At 45.8% G+C, this 19977-nt stretch overlaps 1 protein-coding gene and 1 long non-coding RNA gene across 5 annotated transcripts in view, besides 3 other annotated features; one reads left to right on the top strand and one right to left on the bottom strand.

The window, feature by feature from the left end:
• Positions 1-14082: 14082 nt before the first annotated feature.
• Positions 14083-18008, bottom strand: LOC728485 (uncharacterized). Of its 3 annotated transcripts, none has more exons than NR_164116.1 (2): positions 17623-18008; positions 14083-15775 (listed from the first exon to the last, which is right to left on the bottom strand). It is a non-coding gene; the product is annotated as an uncharacterized LOC728485 (long non-coding RNA). The 3 variants fall into 3 exon arrangements; NR_164117.1 differs by having other exon boundaries at positions 17652-18008; NR_164115.1 differs by having other exon boundaries at positions 17852-18008.
• Positions 18094-18253: an enhancer, noted in NCBI's record as "active region_14533". NCBI's record gives its function as "activates an Ori minimal core promoter by ATAC-STARR-seq in GM12878 lymphoblastoid cells {active_cell/tissue: GM12878}" and the evidence as "EXISTENCE:reporter gene assay evidence [ECO:0000049][PMID:35858748]".
• Positions 18354-19977, top strand: part of ZNF850 (zinc finger protein 850) — a 29328-nt gene continuing 27704 nt past the window's right edge. For both annotated transcript variants that reach the window (NM_001267779.2, NM_001193552.2), the window contains exon 1: positions 18354-18436. The gene's annotated coding sequence lies outside the window, so the exon portion shown is untranslated. The remainder of the gene's footprint in view (positions 18437-19977) is intronic.
• Positions 18394-18533: an enhancer, noted in NCBI's record as "active region_14532". NCBI's record gives its function as "activates an Ori minimal core promoter by ATAC-STARR-seq in GM12878 lymphoblastoid cells {active_cell/tissue: GM12878}" and the evidence as "EXISTENCE:reporter gene assay evidence [ECO:0000049][PMID:35858748]".
• Positions 18520-18814: a silencer, noted in NCBI's record as "tiled region #9870; K562 Repressive non-DNase unmatched - State 1:Tss". NCBI's record gives its function as "represses a minimal TATA promoter and a strong SV40 promoter by Sharpr-MPRA in K562 cells {active_cell/tissue: K562}" and the evidence as "EXISTENCE:reporter gene assay evidence [ECO:0000049][PMID:27701403]".

The raw sequence follows: 19977 nt of genomic DNA, 5'->3' as shown, positions 1-19977 counted from the left end.
TGGACTGGATTGGAATTGGTTCCACAAACTTTTTTTTTTTTTTTTTTTGAGGGAGTCTCACTCTGTCACCCAGGCTGGAGTGCAGTGGCGCCATCTCGGCTCACCGCAACTTCCGCCTCCCGGATTCAAGCCATTCTCCCGCCTCAGCCTCCGGGTAGCTGGGATTACAGGCGCATGCCATCACGCCCGTCTAATTTTTGTATTTTCAGTAGAGACAGGGTTTCATCACGTTGGCTAAGCCGGTCTCGAACTTCTGACCCCAAGTGATCCGCCCGCCTCGGCCTCCCAAAAAACTGGGATTACAGGCGTGAGCCACCGCGCCCGGCCAACTAACTCGTTCTTTGTAAGAGTTAAACTATCTTCCATTATATGAGCATTTAAAGATATTAAAGTACTTTTGCCACCAAAAATAATGCTTCTGTAAATATTCTTTTACTTATATCTTTAATTTTTACTTCTGCTGAAACAAATTGCATGAGGAAACAAATGTATGTGTATAAAATGTAATATATGTATATATATTTAATATGTGTATATACAACTTAATATATACACACACATACAATAATATATACAATTTTTTGTTATTTTTTGAGATGGAATTTCAGTCTGTCACCCAGGCTGGAGTGCAGTGGTGTCATCTCGGCTCACTGCAACCTCCACCTCTTGGGTTCAAGTGATTCTCCTGCCTCAGCCTCCCAAGTAGCTGGGAATACAGGCATCTGCCACCATGTCCAGCTAACTTTGTCTTTTTAGTGGAGATGGGTTTTCACCATGTTGGCCAGGCTGGTCGCGAACTCCTGACCTTAAGTGATCCACTCACCTTGGCCTCCCAAAGTGCTGGAATTACAGGAGTAAGCCACCGTGCCCGGCTTAGCATATACAATTTAATGTATATACAAATATAGGTTGGGTGCAGTGGCTCACTCCTGTATTCCTAGCACTTTGGGGAGCTGAGGTAGAGGATTGTTTGAACCCAGGAGTTTGAAACCAGCCTGGGCAACATGGTGAAACCCTGCCTGTACCAAAAACACAAAAATTAGCTGGGTGTGGTGGCACGTGCCTGTGGTCCCAGCTACTCAGGAGACTGAGGTGGGAGGATAGCTGGAGCCCAGGAGGTTGAGGCTGCAGTGAGTTGTGATCATACCACTGCACTCCAGCGTGGGTGACAGAGTGAGACTCTGTCTCAGACAAGAACAAAAACAAACCAAATATAATGTTTATGCACTACACACTCGATTTCTTTCCAGAGGTTTATACAACACTATACTTTCACCAGCAATATATGAGACTATTCATTTCCTACATACTCACTATCACTTGTGTGCAGTCAAGGAAACTAAGTAGGCCTGAATTGTCCAAACCCCGCACACTCCAAAGAAAGGTTTGACTCTAGTCCATCTCCCAGGAAATAACCTCTAAGTCCTTGGAATATCCTGCCTCTGTAGGAGTTAACAATGTGATTTATTGTGGGGACCCTGGACCATGCAGTGTCAGCTTGACCTTGGGAAGGGTGGAGACAGAGAAACTAAGGTCATCCAAATGGGTGCTCTTGTCCATGTGACCAACCTCCAGTAAAACCCTCAACACCAAGGCTCAGGTAAGCTTTTTGCTGGGGAGTATTTTCTGTACTTTCTGCCATGTATCGCTGGGTGAATTAAGCACTGTACACATGATGCCGCTGGGAGAGGGCAACTGGAAGCTTGCGCTTGGTCTCTCCTGGTCTCTGCCCTACGCACCTTTTGCTGCTGCTGACTTTAATCTGCATCTTTTTGTTGTAATAAACCATAACCATGAGAATAACAGCTTGACTCAGTTTTGTGAGTTCTTCTAATTAATCACTGAACCTTTGGGACCCCAGAACACAACTTTGTTTCTTCTTTAATTGAATTTTACATGTTATGTAAGAAACCTATGTGCATAATTGAAAAATCACATACTAAGAAAGAGCTTTCCATGCAGTCTACTCCCCATCATTTCTCCAATGCTCCCAGGTCTACTCCCTGAATAATCAGATGTTTAAATTTTCTAAACTATTTCTAATCTATATATCTGAGTGGTTATCTCTGTGTTATATAATAGGTAGATCCTGCTCCTTCTCAATATATCCACTTGATGTATTACCTGATGACTTCCTGTTCTGATAGCTGATGACTTGGCTGACACTCACCCCTCACCCCAGTGCCTGGACCACTTTCCAGATATGGTGCTCTCACTATTTTCCTTTTTTTTGTTTTGTTTTTTGAGACATACTCTTGCTCTGTCACCCAGGCTAGAGTGCAGTGGTGCCATCTCGGCTCATTGCAACCTCCGCCTCCTGGGTTCAAGTGATTCTCCTGCCTCAGCCTCCTGAGTAACTGGGATTACAGGCACGTACCACCACAACCGGCTAATTTTTGTATTTTTAGTAGAGACGAGGGTTCACCATCTTGGCCATGCTGGTCTCGAACTCCTGACCTCGTGATCCGCCCACCTCAGCCTCCCAAAGTGCTGGGATTACAGGTGTGAGCCACAGCGCCAGGCCACTCTCACGATGTTCAATATCTCCATTGGTTACCTTTCATAGCATTCAACAATTAGACATACCTCATTTATTTATTGTTAGTTTTTTCTATTTTTAGGTTTAAGGGATATGTGCAGCTTGTTACATGGGTAAATTGCATGTCACTGGGGTTTGGTGTACAAATGATATCGTCACCCAGGTAGTGACCACAGTACCCAACAGTTTTTTGACCCATAGCCTCATGCCACCCTTCCCACTCAAGCAGGCCCCAGTGTCTGTTGTTCCCATCTCTGTGTCCATGTGTACTCAATGTTTAGCTCCCACTTATAAGTGAGAACATGAGGTATTTGGTTTTCTGATGCTGCATTAATTCATTTCGGATAATGGACTTCAGCTGCATCCATGTGGCTGCAAAGGACAGGTTTTTTGGGTTTTTTGGTTTGTTTGTCTGTTTTCTAAGGCTATGTAGTATTCCATGGTGTATATGTACCACATTTTCTTTATCCAGTCCACTGCTGATGGGCATCATATATGCAACTTCAAACTATACTGCTAGGCTACAGTAACCAAAATGTTATAGTACTGGTACAAAAACAGACACATAGACTAATGGAACAGGTTAGAGAACCCAGAAATAAAGCCACACACCTACAACCATCTGATCTTCGACAAAGTCAAAAAAAACGAGCAATGGGGAAATGACTCCCTATTCAATAAATGATTCTGGGATAACTGGCCAGCCATGTGCAGAAGATTGAGTCTGAGCCCCCTACCTTTCACCATATACAAAAATTAACTCAAAATGGATTAAAGATTTAAATATAAGACCTCAAACTATAAAAATCCAGGAAGACAACCTAGGAAATACTCTTCTCAACATTGGACTTGGTAAGGAATTTTTGGCTAAGTTTCCAAAAAAGCAATTGCAGCAAAAACAAAAATAGACAAGTGATACCTAATTAAACTAAAAGCTGGGAGGCCGAGGCGGGTGGATCACAAGGTCAGGAGTTCGAGACCAGCTTGACCAACATGGTGAAACCCTGTCTCTACTAAAAATACAAAAATTAGCTGGGCATGGTGGCGCACACCTGTAATCCCAGCTATTCAGGAGGCTAAGGCAGGAGAATTGCTTGAACCCGGGAGGCAGAGGTTGCAGTAAGCCAGGATTGCGCCACTGCACTCCAGCCTAGGCGACAGAGCGAGACTCCATGTCAAAAAGAAAAGAAAGAAAATGGTCACAGTAACTTATGACACTTGGAGGAACTTTGCATTTACGTTAGTGAGGTAGTGGCAGTATATGGGGCAAGACCATTTTGTTGTAGATGAAGATGTTAAATTTGATTATGGAAGAAAGGTGTATGTTACTGAAGAGATGTCAAAAGATAGAAGATAGGAGGCATTTGTTCTGTTTTTCTGGCCACTCAGTACCTTTTGAACATTTTTAAAATTTTTTTGAGACAAGGGCTCACTCCATTGTCCAGGCTTGAGTGCAGTGGTGCTGTCACAGCTCACTGCAGCCTCAGACTCCTGGGCTCAAGCGATCCTCCTACCTCATCCTCTCAAAATGTTGGGAACATAGGCATGAGCCACCACTCCCTGTCCCTTTTGAACATTTTTGCCAGCTCTAGGAAATTTCTTCAGTTCCTTGGGCTCTTTTGAAGTAGGGCACGTGACTAAGTCATGTGTCTAAGTTTCACCAATGAAACTCATATCAAGATATTTCAAAATTGATCAACTTAAGGTTTCACATGAATTCATCTTGCGTGCAAGGGTGGAGGCAGAGGTTCCGGCTTTCACAGGCAAGAGTAGTTGCTCATATATCGTGTATCAGGTGCAGACAGCACATCAGCGTGGCAACAGTGGCAATTCCCATTGTTCTTGTGCCAGCAGGAGAGGCAGGTGACTTACTCACTATACCTGTCCCATGGCATAATTTTGGGCATAGCACCTAGAAGCCTAGCCTGGAGCCTGGATTTCTATCCCTCCCAATCATTCTGTGAGCTACCTACCTTTTTGGCTTAATTACCAAAGGCTGAGACTGTTGCTTGCAATTGGAAGCCTCAAATGTTAAAGTATTAAACAATAAAACAGGCCAGGCCTGGTGGCTCACACCTGTAATCCTAGCGCTTCACAAGGTTGGGACAGGTGGATCATTTCAGCCCAGGAGTTTGAAACCAACCCAGGCAACATGGCAGAACGTGGCCTCTACAAAGAAATACAAAAATTAGCCAGGCATGGTGGTGTGCGCATGCAATCCCAGCTACTTTGGAAGCTGGGGAGGGAGGATCATCTGAGCCCGGGGAGGTCGAGGCTGCAGTGCCATGATTGTACCACTGCACTCCAGCCTGGGCGACAGAGCAAGACCATCTCAAAAAAAAAAAAAAAAAAAAAGCAAATAGTAAAAATCATATATTTCCTTCCTTTAACCCCCAGCCCTCCAGCATGTGGTTGTTTTAGAGGTATTTCATTATTGGATGATGATATTCACTTGGGTGACTAGTAGGGCAGGATATGAATACAATTGGTGTCTTCATTGAATTTGGGGAGTTGTTTGATTAAAACTACATACAACTGGCTGGGTGCCGTGTCTCATGCCTGTACCCAACACTTTGGGAAGTCAAGGCAGGCAGATCACTTGAGGCCCAGAGTTTGAGACCAGCCTGGCCAACATGGTGAAACTTTGTGTCTACTGAAAATACAAAAATTAGCTGAGTGTCATGGCCCATGCCTGTGGTCCCAGCTACTCAGGAGGCTGAGGCACAAGAATCGCTTGAACCCGGGAGGCGGAGGTTGAAGTGAGCCGGGATCATGCCACTGCACTCCAGCCTGGATGACAGAGTAAGACTCTGTCTCAACCCAAACTGGCCGGGTGCGGTGGCTCACGCCTGTAATCCCAGCACTTTGGGAGGCTGAGGCAGGTGGATCACGAGGTCAGGAGTTCAAGACCAGCCTGGCCAAGATGGTGAATCCCCGTCTCTACTAAAAATACAAAATTAGCCAGGTGTGGTGGCACATGCCTATAATCTCAGCTACTCGGGAGGCTGAGGCAAGAGAATCACTTGAACCTGGGAGGCAGAGGTTTCGGGGAGGTGGAGGTTGAGGTGAGCCGAGATCGAGCCATTGCACTCCAGCCTGGACAAGAAGAGTAAAATTCTGTCTCAAAAACAAAGAAAATTACACACAACTCATTTCCTGGTTTGTGATAATCTGTGAAATATATTTTGAAATGAATTGGAATTCTGTGCAGTACTATTCACACCCCAATACTCCTAATATTTCCTTTCCCAGATGATGACCTGGCACTCTTCCTAGGGCTTGACATACAGGTCCCCAATATAAGTATTTGTGATTCTGAGTCAATTTATTGTCTACATGGGTGACAATGCAATGCTCTTGTTGTAGAGTACCAATACTTTATATTTTTGAGGCAGGGTCTCACCTCCATCATCCGAACTGAAGTGCAGTTGCGTGATCACAGCTCACTGCAGCCTTGACCTCCTGGGTCCAAGTGACCCTCCCACCTGAAACTCACAAGTAGCTGGGACCACAGGCATGTGCCACCATGCCCCAATAATTTTGTGGAGACAGGTCTCTCTAGGTTGCCCAGGCTGGTCTCAAACTCCTGGGCTCAAGTGATTCACCTGCCTTGGCCTCCCAAAGTGCTGGGATTACAGGCATGAGCCACTGCACCCAGCTCTTCTAGAGGAAAGCCACCACAGCTAATTTTTGTATTTTTAGTAGAGATAGGGTTTCACCATGTTGGCCAGGCTGGTCTAGAACTCCTGACCTCCAGTGATCTGCCCACCTCAGCCTCCCAAAGTGCTGTGATTACAGGTGTGAGGCACCGTGCCTGACCAATTGCATAAAATTTTACTCTTTGGTATTTAATTTCTCTCAAGTCTTATGAGCAGCATTAATCATTTCATGGAAGATAAAAAATCTAGGCAAGATCAGGCCGTGTGCCTTGCTTTATTATTTATTTTATTTTATTTTTTTTGAGACGGAGTTCTGCTCCTGTTGCCCAGACTGGAGTGCAATGGTGTGATCTCAGCTCACTGCAACCTCCACCTCCTGGGTTCAAGCGATTCTCCTGCGTCAGCTTCCCAAGTAGCTGGGATTACAGGCATGCACCACCACACCGGGCTAATTTTGTATTTTTAGTAGAGACGGGATTTCTCCATGTTGGTCAGGCTGGTCTCGAACTCCTGACCTCAGGTAATCCGCTCGCCTTGGCCACACCTTGCTTTATTAATCCCAGTGACCTTTACCTCTATTCTACTCAGACGTCCGTGCTCATTATCATACTCCTGAGTAGTACTTATTTTAGTAACCTTGTTCACTTCTACGTGAAAACATTTTTTCAGCTCAGATATCACCTTTTCCAGAAATGAGCTACTTTTCCTCTGGCTTTTTCTAGAACCATGTGCTCACCTTGAGCATAGTACATACTTTATTCCATAGATCTCGTAAGGAAGTTGAATGGATACTCCTGAATTTCCAGCATCCACTACATTATCAAGTGTGTATTGACATTTATAAGTACTTCACAAATTAAAGAATGAACATATGAATGAATGAATCAAACCAAGGCTCAGATGAGTTGTATATCTGTTTGTGGTAGATGAAAATGAATGTTACTCATGGTCCTTAGACTTATATTTCTGTTCCCCAGCAGTTTTCAAGCATGTAACTGAGTACCTCCTATGTTCCTAGGAGCTGGAGATAGAGATGAGTCAGGTCCAAACTGCACCTTTGTAGAGAACATAGTATATGCGCAATTGAACATGTACATGGTTATGATACTGAAAACAATAAGAAAGTAGGCCGGGCGCAGTGGCTGACACCTGTAATCCCAGCACTTTGGGAGGCCGAGGCTTGGCGATCACCTGAGGTCACAAGTTTGAGACCGGCCTGCCCAACATGGTGAAACCCTGTCTCTACTAAAAGTACAAAAAATTAGTTGAGTGTGGTGGTGGGCACCTGTAATCCCACCTACTCGGGAGGCTGAGGCAGGAGAATCGCTTCAACCTGGGAGGCGGATGTTGTAGTGAGCCAAGATCACACCTCACATCACCGCACTCCAGCCTGGGCGACAAGAGTGAAACTCCATCTTAAAAAAAAAAAAAAAAAGAACACTGGCCTTGGGAGTTTCTTTAGGTTGGCTCCTGTATTCCATTTATAGCATGCCTTTATCAGGGGGCTGGGGTACGGGACTAATTCCCAACTTTCTGGCACCATAAAATGTTTTGATTCATTTGATATTTTCCCTGACCCAGACGTGGAATAAACCATTCATTTAAAGATCCTTGGTTTCTTTTATTGAAGAGTTTTATTTACAAAGCACCAAAATCTTGGGCTGGGTGAGGTGGCTCAGGCCTGTAATCTCAACATTTTGGGAGGCTGAGGCAGGAGGATCCCTTGAGGCCAAGAGTTTGAGACCAGCTTGGGCAACACAGTGAGACCCCATCTCTATTTTTAAAAACAAAACAAAAACAAAATCACCAAGATCAGGGTGACAAGTGTGCTCATTGCTACTGGTGTGTCATTGCTTCTAGGCCCTCTTAGTGGGCAGAACTAGGAAATGTATGTATACTAACACACACACCTAATTTGTATATTTATTTAGCCTTACTGTAAGTTTTTTTTTTTTTTTTGAGACAGGGTCTCACTCTGTCATGTAGGCTAGAGTGCAGTGGCATAATCTCAGCTCAAATGCAACCTCCACTTCCCAGGTTCAAGTGATTCTCCTGCCTCAGCCTCCTGAGTAGTTGGGACGATAGGTGCCTGCCACCATGCCTAGCTAATTTTTGTATTTTTAGTAGAGACGGGGTTTCACCACGTTGGCCAGGCTGGTCTGGAACTCCTGACCTCAGTGGATCTGCCCCCCCTTGGCCTCCCAAAGTGCTGGAATTACAGGCATGAGCCTCTGTGCCTGGCCAAGCATTCTTAATGGGTGTGATATTGCCCCTAAGAGGGTGAACATTGGTTACTGAAGGTAAAATGAATTATAGTTGTTGCAATGGTTTGTGGCCTTCCACAATTTTTTTTTTTTTTTTTTTTTGAGTTGGAGGCTCACTCCGTCACCCAGGCTGGAGTGCGGTGGTGCAATCTTGGCTCACTGCAACCTCTGCCTCCTGGGTTCAAGAGATTCTCCTGCCTCAGCCTCCCAAGTAGCTGGGATTATAGACATGCACTACCAAGTTCGGCTAATTTTTGTATTTTTAGTAGAGACGGAGTTTCAGCATGTTGGCCAGATTGGTCTAGAACTCCTGACCTCAAGTGATCCGCCTGCCTCGGCCTCCCAAAGTGCTGGGATTGCAGGTGTGAGCCACCAGGCACCTGGCCTATTGCACAGAATTTTACTCCTTGGTATTTAATTTCTCTCAAGTCTTATGGGCAGCATTGAACATTTTATGGAAGATAAAAAGTCCACGCAAGATCAGGCCATGCACAGTGGCTCACACCTGTAATCCCAGCACTTTGGGAGGCCGAGGAAGGCAGATCACCGAAGGCAGGAGTTCAAGACCAGCCTGTCCAACATGGTAAAACCTCGTGTCAACTAAAAATACAAAAAAATTACCTGGAAGTGGTGGCACGTGCCTGTAATCCCAGCTACATGGGAGGCTGAAGCAGGAGAATCGCTTGAACCCAAGAGGCAGAGGTTGCAGCGAGCTGATCATGCCACTGCACTTCATCCTGGGCGACAGAAGGAGCCTCCATCTTAAAAAAAAAAAAAAATCTATGCAAGATCAGTGCTACAAAATGATGGCAAATTGATGGCTATAATCGGAAGACTTTTTCTTGATTGAATGCTCTATCCCAAAGTTACATGAGAGGTGGTCTGTGTGTGTCTATTGGCTGCCTTGTGGATAGTATTTATGATTGATCCTCAGTGCTTTGGGAATTATGTAAAATAGTTATATTATGAAAATAATTCAACCTAGCATTAATTGTGTTAAGTGTTGAAAATGAAAAATGTTGACTACATCTGAATGAATGAATATCTGGCTTACGGGTTTTGTTTTGTTTGTTTTTGTTTTTTGAGACGGAGTCTCACTCTGTGTCACTCCTGAGTTCAGGCAATCCACACACCTCGGCCTCCCAAAGTGTTAGGATTACAGGCGTGAGCCACCACGCCCGACCTAGCTTACGGTTTTATTGAAAACCCCATTTAACTCAAAACAGCTTGTTTCTTATGAATAATCATTTTTTTTGTTTTTGTTTTGTTTTGTTTTTTTACAAACAGGGCTATGAAACCATCAAGATTTGTGGATCATCGAAAAAAGAAACATCCTGATAAAGTCGAGAAGCAGAATATTTAAAAAGTTTAAAATAGAATTTTGAACTGTAACACTGTTACTTCCTTATTTAAGAAGGACAAGCGACCAGGTGAGGTGGCCCACACCTGTAATCCCAACAGTTTGGGAGGCTGAGGCGGGTGGATCCCTTGAGCCCAGGAGTTGGAGACCAGCCTGGGCAATATGGTGAAACCTTGTCTCTACTAAAAACACAAAAACTAGCCGGGCATGGTGTGTGCACCTGTAATTCCAGGTACTCGGGAGGCTGAGGCAAGAGACTCACTTGAACCTGAGAGGCAGAGGTTGCAGTGAGCTGAGATTGCAGCACCACACTCCAGCCTGGACGATAGAGTGACATTCGGTCTCAAAAAACAAAAAAAAAGGATAAGCAAACAAATTATGATGAAATTATTGCCTTATAAAATTGCATAAATCAGCCAGGCGCGGTGGCTCACACCTGTAATCCCAGCACTTTGGGAGGCCGAGGCAGGTGGATCACCTGAGGTCGGGAGTTCGAGACCAGCCTGGCCAACATGGTGAAACCCCGTCTCTACTAAAAATACAAAAATTAGCCAGGCGTGGTGGCACACACCTGTAATCCCAGCTACTCAGGAGGCTGAGGCAAGGAGAATCGCTTGAGCCAGGGAGACGGAGGTTGCAGTGAGCTGAGATCGTGCCACTGCACTGCAGCCTGGCTGACAGAGTGAGACTCCATCTCAAAAAAAAAAAACAAAAAAAAAATTGCAGAAATCATTGTAAAACCCCGTAGTGCTTACAGAGTTGCCGAAACTGTCATAGGACCCACATTAGAGGCCATAACTTCAATAGTGATATATCACATTGCCACTATTTAACAATCACTCCTATTGAGCAACAATTCAATTCATAGATGCATTAATGAGATGTCAGGTAATACCAGAGTAGCTGATTAATCAAGTAAGTTTCCTATTCAGATCAATGAAACTAGTTAGTGATAGTAAGGCCTGACAATAGAACGTGTTTGTTATTTCAATAATGACTGCAAACTAGAAGAGATATTGTTTGTAAAATCTTTAGACACTGACCATAGCAGAACATCTATTCTTACCACTGTAAAAACTTGGTTTGGGGCTGGGTGCAGTGGCTCATGCCTGTAATCTCAGCACTATCATTTCCTCACATGATATGGAAAATGCTGACCTCTGCATCCTAAATCTAAACTAATTTCCCACTCACTTGCTAAGCTTCAGTCACACCAGGCTGCTTTCTGTTTCTGGAATGCTCCAAGTGCTCTCTGATTTTTCAGCATCTTTAGTGTAACTGTGCCTCTGCTTGGAATACCCTTCCACACTGCTGACTCCTCACCACCAAAGCTCAAGGGTTATCTCTCAGTCACCTGTCCTATCAATGCTACGGGAAGTATCCCTCAAGTTACTGCTTATACCACCTATTGATTTATTTCATAGTATTGATCACGATATAAAATTACCTCATTTTCTCCTTTTACTTTAAAATCTTTTTTTTCTCCCAGACTAGAATGTAAACCTCACGTAGGCAGCAGACATGTCTGCTTACTTTTTTTTGTGAGACGGAGTTTTGCTCTGTCACCCAGGCTGGAGTGCAATGGTGCGATCTCAGCTCACTGCAACCTCCGTCTCCCAGGTTCAAGTGGTTCTCCTGCCCCAGCCTCCCGAGCAGCTGAGATTACAGGCGCCCACCACCACACCCGGCTAATTTTTGTATTTTTAGTAGAGATAGGGTTTCACTATGCTGGACAGGATGGTCTCGAACTCCTGACCTCAGGTGATCTGCCTGCATGTCTGCTTACTTTTGATAAGTATCTTTACTGATTGATTGACCGAGGCAGAGTCTTGCTCTGTTGCATAGGATGGAGCGAAGTGGTGCAATCATAGCTCACTGCAGCCTTCAACTCCTGGCCCCAAGAGATCCTCGCAACTCACCTTTCCCAGTAGCCGAGACTACAGGTACATACCACAAGGCCTGGCTAATTTAAAAAGTGTTTTTTGTAGAGATGGGGTCTTGCTTTGTTACCCAGGCTGGTCTTGAACTCTTGGAGTCAAGCAATCCTCATGCCTTTCTAAAGCTTTTACTATTTGAATTAAAATGAACAAATCAGGAAATGAGCAAAGTCTGTCTCTGAAAAACTGAATTCTCTCCCCAAAGACACTGCATGTAACATTATTTAATAATAAGATAGTGGCCAGGCGCGGTGGCTCAGACCTGTAATCCCAGCACGTTGGGAAGCCGAGGCGGATAGATCACAAGGTCAGGAGTTCAACACCAGCCTGGCCAAGATTGTGAAACCCCATCTCTACTAAAAATACAAAAATTAGCTGGGCGCGGTGGCAAGCACCTGTAACCCCAGCTACTTGGGAGGCTGAGTCAGGAGAATCGCTTGAACCGGGCGGGGGCGGAGGTTGCAGTGAGCTGAGATTATACCATCGCACTCCAGCCTGGGTGACAGAGTGAGACTCTGTCTCAAAAAATAATAATAATAAAAATAAAGATGATGATAGTTGGGCTGGGCACAGTGGCTCACACCTGTAATCCCAGCACTTTGGGAGGCTGATGCAGTCAGATTGCTTGAGCCTAGGAGTTCGACACCAGCCTGGAGACGGTCAAACCCCGTCTCTATAAAAAATAAAAAAATTAGCTGGGTGTGGTGGCACATACCTGTGGTCCTAGCTACTTGAGAGGCTGAGGTGGGAGGATCACCTGAGCCCAGGAGGTTGAGGCTGCAGTGAGCTAGGAGTGCAGCACTGCACTCCAGCCTGGGCGATAGAGCAAAAGGCCATCTCAAATAACAATAATAATAATTGGATAGTAACAAATGTTTGACTCCAACAAGTATGCTGCAAAACAATGCTATAAATAATGAGAAAATAGACAATGCGTGGTTCGGCTTGGTGGCTCACGCCTGTAATCCCAGCACTTTGGGAGGCTGAGGTGGGCGGATTACGAGGTCAAGAGATCGAGACGATCCTGGCCAACATGGTGAAACTCCGTCTCTATTAAAAATACAAAAATTAGCCAGGTGTGGTGGCAGGTGTCTGTAATCCCAGCTACTCAGGAGGCTAAGGCAGGAGAATTGCTTGAACCAGGGAGTCGGAGGTTGCAGTGAGCCGAAATCGCGCCGCAGTACTCCAGTCTGGCGACAGAACGAGACTCCATCTCAAAAAATAAAAATAAATAAAAATAAAAGGGATGAAAGATGACAAAACTACCAGAAGAAATCAGAAATTATAACATCCAACTAAAAGGATGTTTAGAATTTCAGAAAGAGAGAAGAAAAATGAATGGAAGAAAACTTCACAGAACAAACAAAAGGCGATTTCTAGAAACACAGATCATGAGTCTTCAAAATATTAATACAAAGATCCACTGAGTACCTTGTACAACGAAAGAAACAAGAACCACACCAAAACACATTTCTGTGAAATTTCAGAAAACTAGTACGAAGAGACAATTTTAAATGTTTTTTAAAATTATTATTATTATTATTATTGAGACAGGGTCTCACTCCATTGCCCAGGCTGGAGTCCAGTGTCGCGATCTTGGCTCAACTGCAACCATGCCCTCTTGGGTTCAAGCAATTCTCCTGCCTCAGCCTCCTGAGTACCTGGGACTACAGGTGCATGCCACCTCACCCAACTAATATTTTGTGTTTTTAGTAGAGACAGCGTTTCACCATGTTGGCCAGGCTGGTCTCAAACTCTTGACTTCAGGTGATCTGCCCACCTCGACCTCCCAAAGTGCTGGGATTACAGGTGTGAGCCACCACACCCGGCCTATTTTTACTTTTATGAAAACAGGGTCTCCTTATGTCATCCAGGCTGGTTTTGAACTCCTGAGCTCAGGCAATCCTCCTGCCTCGTACTCCCAAAACTCTGGGATTACAGGCATGAATCACTGAGCCTGGCCTTTAAATGCTTTGAAAGACAAAGAACAGTAACAGAACACAAATCAAATTGTCATATTTTAAGATAAACACTGTAAGCTAGCAGACAATGTTATATAATTCAAAATTCTAAGTGAAAACCACATTCAACCTAAAATTTCAAACCTAGTTAAGGTGTCATCCAAAAGAGGTAGAATACAGACACTGTCAAGCTTATAAGGGTCCCAAAGTTTTAACCCAAATTCGCCTTTGTCAAAATGGTAAACAAAATAAGAACGTGTTTTTTACAAAAATGAGAAGCTAAACCAAGAAAAAAAAAAAAAAGACATACGCTCCAAGAAACCAGGGACCCAATATAAGAGGCACAGGAAATGCCCGAGATGTTCAGGTGCTGGGTATTTATTTATTTATTTAATTTTTTCTGAGACGGGGTCTTGCTTTGTCACCCAGGCTGGAGGGCAGTGGTGCCATCACGGCTCACTGCAGCCTCGACCTCCCAGGCTCAAGCCATCCTCCCAACTCAGTTCTTTTGCCAGTTGGCATCCTTTTACTTATTCATTGATGAATCCCACATATTCATTTATTCACTCTACAGTGGTGAAATCTCTTAGAATTATTTTCACTAAGTAATAAAAGTTAACATCACCAAGAATGGAACACATTGACACTGTGTGTCTCTCGATGGGATAAACCACATGAGTTATGTGGTATTCCTCCCAAAGATACATAAAAGATGAGGTACATCCAAATTAAAGAACACTCTACAAAATAACTGTCCCGGCGCGGTGGCTCATGCCTGTAATCCTAGCACTTTGGGCAGCAGAAGTGGGAGGATCTCTTGAGCCCAAGAGTTTGAGACCACACTGGGCAACATAGAACACCCCATCTCTACAAAAAATAAAAAATTACCCGGGCGTGGTGGCGCAGGCCTGTAGTCCCAGCTACTCGGGAGGCTGAAGCAGGAGGGTCCCTTGAGCCCAGGAGTTCGAGGCTGCAGTGAGCTATCATCGCGCCACTGTATTCCAGCCTGGGCGATACAGCAAAGCCCTGTCTCCAAAAATAAAACCAAAAACCAAAAAACAAAACCCCAAAAAAACTCACCACCACCAAAAAACAAAATAAGTAACCTGTATTCTTTGAAAATGTCAAGGTCGGGAACAGGTAGGATACACAGAAAACAAATAGGTGGAAGATTTAAATCGAAATATTTTAGTAGTTTCATTAAATGTACAGAGGAGAGTATGTGCCTATCATTGGGAGTCTGAGACAAGATAAAAGCACGGATCTCATAACAATAAATTACTTTGAAATCTTCTTTCTTGCTCAGTACAGGTCCCGCCGCCGCGCCGCCTGGCTCTCGTATTCCTGGTTCTCGGCGGGCTGTGGGGCTTCCGCGCCGCAGCCGTTAGTCTCGTCGGGTAGGTGACTCCTTCAGCGAGCAGGCGCAGCGACGAGAAAGGCCTGGCGGGGTTGCGCTGTCTTCCCGCCCACCGGAAGGCCCTGAGGAGAAGCCTCGGGCCCTGAGGGAGGGCTTGGGGTCGGGGGCGGCCGCTGCCGCCGCCATGTTGGGCTGGAGGTACGCACGCTCCCAACGCTCTCTGGCTGCGCTCCCAACGGTATCTGGCTGCAAATCACGGCGGGAGCGCCTCGGGCCTCTTGTCTTTTGACCCTGTCCTTGGAACCCGAGGAGACTTGCCGTTCCCGGGGGAGGGTGTGTGTGAGTCGGGCGGCGGAGGCCGTCTACGCCATTGTAGGGGCGGGGGGAGCCGAGATTAGAGCATCAGCCTGAGAGAAGTGGTGCTTCTGGTTCTCCGCTCTGCCTCGCATCTTTCAGCGAGGCCTCGTACCTCAGTTTTCCCATCCGTGAAGTGGAGCTGGGCCTGCCTGACTCATTCATTCATCAGGTGGAGGCCTTGACGCTCTAGGAGCCCTTTCAAAGGACTTTGCCTTACACGAAATAGTACCTATCGTTATTCACTCTGCAGTAACCACCCGGATTTGAGTGGCGGGTGTTTGCACAGTAATTCAGTTTCCTCTTCACCCTCCTGCCATTCGTCTTCCCCTCCAGTTTATCTCCTGAAAGAGTTTGAAATCAGCCTTGTCTATTATTGATAAACTCCTGTAGGTGTATTTGGTATTTCCCTTAAAACATGCAGACCAAAGGAAAGGCAATATTTTCCCCCCACGAAGCAGTTAACTTGGTAGAGGCCAGCCGTTGTATGGAAGAGAAAGAGAGTCTCTTCAGGACAGGCAGTTTGGATCCTGCTAAACCAGAATAAAAAATCTAGAACATGGGCCGGGCGAGGTGGCTCACGCCTGTAATCCCAGCACTTTGGGAGGCCAAGGCGGGCGGATCACGAAGTCAGGAGATCGAGACCATCTTGGCTAATACGGTGAAACCCCGTCTCTACGAAAAATACAAAAAATTAGCCGGGCGTGGTGGCGGGCGCCTGTAGTCCCAGCTACTCAGGAGGCTGAGGCAGGAGAATGGCTTGAACCCGGGAGGCGGAGTTTGCAGTGAGCCGAGATCACGCCACTGCACTCCAGCCTGGGCGACAGAGCAAGACTCCGTCTCAAAAAAAAATAAATAAATAAAAATCTAGAACATGGATGTCCCCTTGCTTTAGCAGACCTAGCTGATCACACAAGGTCCTGTATTGTTAGGCTGCATCACAGGCCGCAAAGACCCAGGTATCTATCCAGTTGTTAGAAACCATCCTGAGAGTTAGATACCACTTTTCTGTTGGAAATACAGACCATTTCCTGAAGCCGTATGGTTGAGGTAAAACAGGCCTTTTGCAGTCTTATATTTTGAGTAAGGCCAAAACTGCCTAGTGTTACAAAACCAGACAAAAAGCCCAGGTACCCAGTCTTGCAGGATAGAAATGTGTGACTAAAATGAAGCATCGATCTGAGAAGACTACAAATGAGCGGGAAAGATTGGACAGGAGCATGCTATACATTATTTAGATTAATGTTGATATTTAAGGAGCCAGGATATTGGTTTGTTTTTGAGGGGTGCCCATCTACTTTATGTAAGAAGCTATAAACTACACTTCTTTCAGTTTCTGCTTAATCCTTGCTCAAACAAGGAATAATTTCTTATTCCAAAGTAGACATTGGTACATCTTTTACTAGGTACATAATTTGGGATGAAGTCTGATAAAGCTCCTTAGAAGTACTTACAGTACACCCTCACAAGGGTGTACCATCTACCCATGGTTTAAACAGAAATTAAAATTCTACCTTCGTGGAAAAATTTGCCAAGTTTTAATGGATTCAGTGCTCATTAAAAACTTTTAGCCTGTCTTGATCTTTAACATAATTATTGGTGTGAAACAATGGCTTCTGTGGAAAATTAAAGTTTTAGTGGTTTGCTATTTGTGAAATACAGGCTTTTTCATGTATCATATTAGCATATAAGCTGGCTTAATCATTAGTACTGATCTTCAAGTTACTAAGACACCAGATATTTGTTACTTTGTAATTTGAGTTTTTAAAAAAATTCCGAAATTGGCTTTTCGATGTGTGAAAAGGACTACTTATTAGATGCTTGTTTTTAAATTTACATTCAATTAATTAAAGCTAGACTCTTTATATTCTTAGGCTTGGTATACTATTTGTATGTTTTGTAGTAAGTGTATAAAAATAATACCTTTGACTTTGTATAAAAAAAATCTTTCTTGCTTTAAAAGCCATGTTGGATTTGCATTCTAGACCGTAATAAATATAACTACTTTAACATAAAAATCTATTTATGTTGTTTATCAGATATTAGGGGTTTTTTTCCCTCTCCTGTCAACCTCCAAATAAAATCGATGCTCCAGAATGATGCCCTCTTATCATAATTTTACAAATACCTGGCTCCAAGGTTACTACCTGATACAAAAATACAATGCTGGTCTCCCAAACAGGCAACTCACATTGACACTCACACAGCTTCCACTCACACCTGCGATCACAAGGCAGCATCTTCGGGCCCTCGTCGGCCACGATCCGCTCCCAGAGAGCATTCGCGCACAATCTTATCCCATCCACGATTTTGATTCCTTTTCTCCCACTTCTTCAACCCTATCCGGGACGAGACCATCAGGTCCCACCTCCACCTTCACCTTCATTTTCCGCGCAATGCAGACTGAGCCCTGGACTCACCCATATACAGATTGAATTGTCCGGTCAGTGTTTCATCCCCTCTGCATTCTGAGGGCGAGTTAGCATCTGGGTGCATGAGTTCCAAACTAACAGCCAGGACCAGGCTTGGAGCCAAGAATCCTTTGGCTCGCATCGTGGCTGGGTTGACCGCTTTTCTGCCCTGGACTACATTTCCCATCGGTTCTACCGTTCGGGGCTACTTCCGCCGAGAACCGGAAGCACGTTTTCCTGTGTCTTACCCCAGATAACAGAGCTGCCAGGGATAATCAGGCCTGACCACTCTAGCGGGCGAGCCGGCCCCATAGCGAGCCGCTCGGCATGAGGGCTCTGCGATCCTCGTTGGAGAGGAGCGGTAAAAGGAAACAAGCCAGGCTTGGAAATGAGAGGCATAGGGAAGCCCGCAGTCGGGCTCTGGACTACATTTCCCAGAGGATCCCGCAGGCCGACGCCACGTCTCGCGAGATTTTGGCTTCCTCTTAGCCAGGTGGCGGGACCGTTTGCTGTGCCGATTTAGCTGCCGCCGCGCCTTGGAGTCCTGAGGAACTTGGCTAGGCTGGCCCCGAGCGGAACCAGAGAATGCTGAGGGTGAGGAATCCGGCTCCGGTCCTTTTGTGTGTGGAGGGCTGAGGAGAGGAGTTTGCGTGTGTGATCGCGATGGCTGCCGTGGGTCTCCGTGGTCTGTGACTGTGGCTGTGTGGTGCTGACTCTGGGTGATCAGGTGGGCGCTTGTGACTGTGCGCGCCCGGAGTGGGTGTGTGTGTCCTGGACGACCCTCGTTGTGCGTGCGGATGTGAAGAACCGGTGACTGTGTGGTTGGACTGCGTGTCCCGGGGTGGGTGTGTGACTTTGCGTGTCTGTGCAGTACCTTGTGTGCGTGAGTTGCAGGTCTGTGGCTGTGCAAGTGCAACTTGTGTGGCCCCTTGGTGTATGTGAGAGAGGAGAGTGTGATTGGCTGTGAGGCAGTGGGTAAGTGGATATGCGGAGGCATGTGTGCGATTGGGACTTTGTGTGTCCCCTTGAGAGAAAAAACTCTTTAGGCAGTTAGGGTGGGACCTTGGTAAAAGTCCTTTAAACAGAGAAACAGCCTGAAAAATCAGGCTGCAGGCATACATAAGGAAAACTCCACAGGGGGGTTGTCCTGAAGACATTCCTCAGCTGCACTGATAAGGGACCGAGGCCCAACATAGAAACGCCTTTGTCCTTTGTGTGACCAGCGGGCTTCCACGAAATAGTCGCTTCTTTTGTGGGCATGTACACGGTGGGCTCTGTTAGATTTTGAAGGGAAGGCGAGGGTTAAAGAAAGAGAGAGAGTTGGCGGCTCTATGGCGGGGACCAACTAAATGCCAGAGCCCACTGCCGCTTCCAGGCTGGGGTAATTACAGGCCTGGGCAGGAGGGGTCTGGGCGGTATGGCTTGTTGCCTGGGAGAAAGTTGATAAGGATGTTTCTTGGGCTTTTGCCCAGCAGGATGTGATAAGGAAGTCAGGCGGTTGGGAAGGATGTTTCGCACAGCCCAAACCCGGGTGGAATGTTTCCCTCTGACCAGGGTCTGTGAAATGGTGGGGGCTTACGAAACGGTGCAGCTTGGACTAACAGGTTCCGGCGGCCACTTTCCTTTTTTGGACATGCTTTAGACTGTGAGCGCGGCCTCTTTGAATCATAACTTCACCCCCTCATTGGTCCCGGGCCAAGCTTTCACTTCAGCCCCTGATTGGTCCCGGGCCAAACTTTCACTTCAGCTCCTGATTGGTCCCGGCCCAAACTTTCACTTCAGCTCCTGATTGGTCCCGGGCCAAACTTTCACTTCAGCCCCTAATTGGTCCCGGGCCAAACTTTCACTTCAGCTCCTGATTGGTCCCGGGCCAAACTTTCACTTCAGCCCCTGATTGGTCCCGGGCCAAACTTTCACTTCAGCCCCTGATTGGTCCTGGGCCAAACTTTCACTTCAGCCTGGGATTGGTCCCGGGCTAAGGTCCCAGGGCCAAGCTGGGTAGTGCTTTCTTCAAGACAGCCCACGTTCCTCCCCTTCCCAGTTAATAAACCCCCCCAGATTCAGCCTCCTAGTTGGCAACCCTCTTTTGGGTCCCTCCGCTGGGGAGAGCTTTCTTCTTTTGCTTATTAAACTTC

Source organism: Homo sapiens, chromosome 19 (assembly GCF_000001405.40).
Source record: "Homo sapiens chromosome 19, GRCh38.p14 Primary Assembly".
NCBI classification, from domain to species: domain Eukaryota; kingdom Metazoa; phylum Chordata; class Mammalia; order Primates; family Hominidae; genus Homo; species Homo sapiens.
The sequence above is the reverse complement of the archived record's forward strand: the minus strand, read 5'-3'. Positions and strand labels throughout refer to the sequence as shown.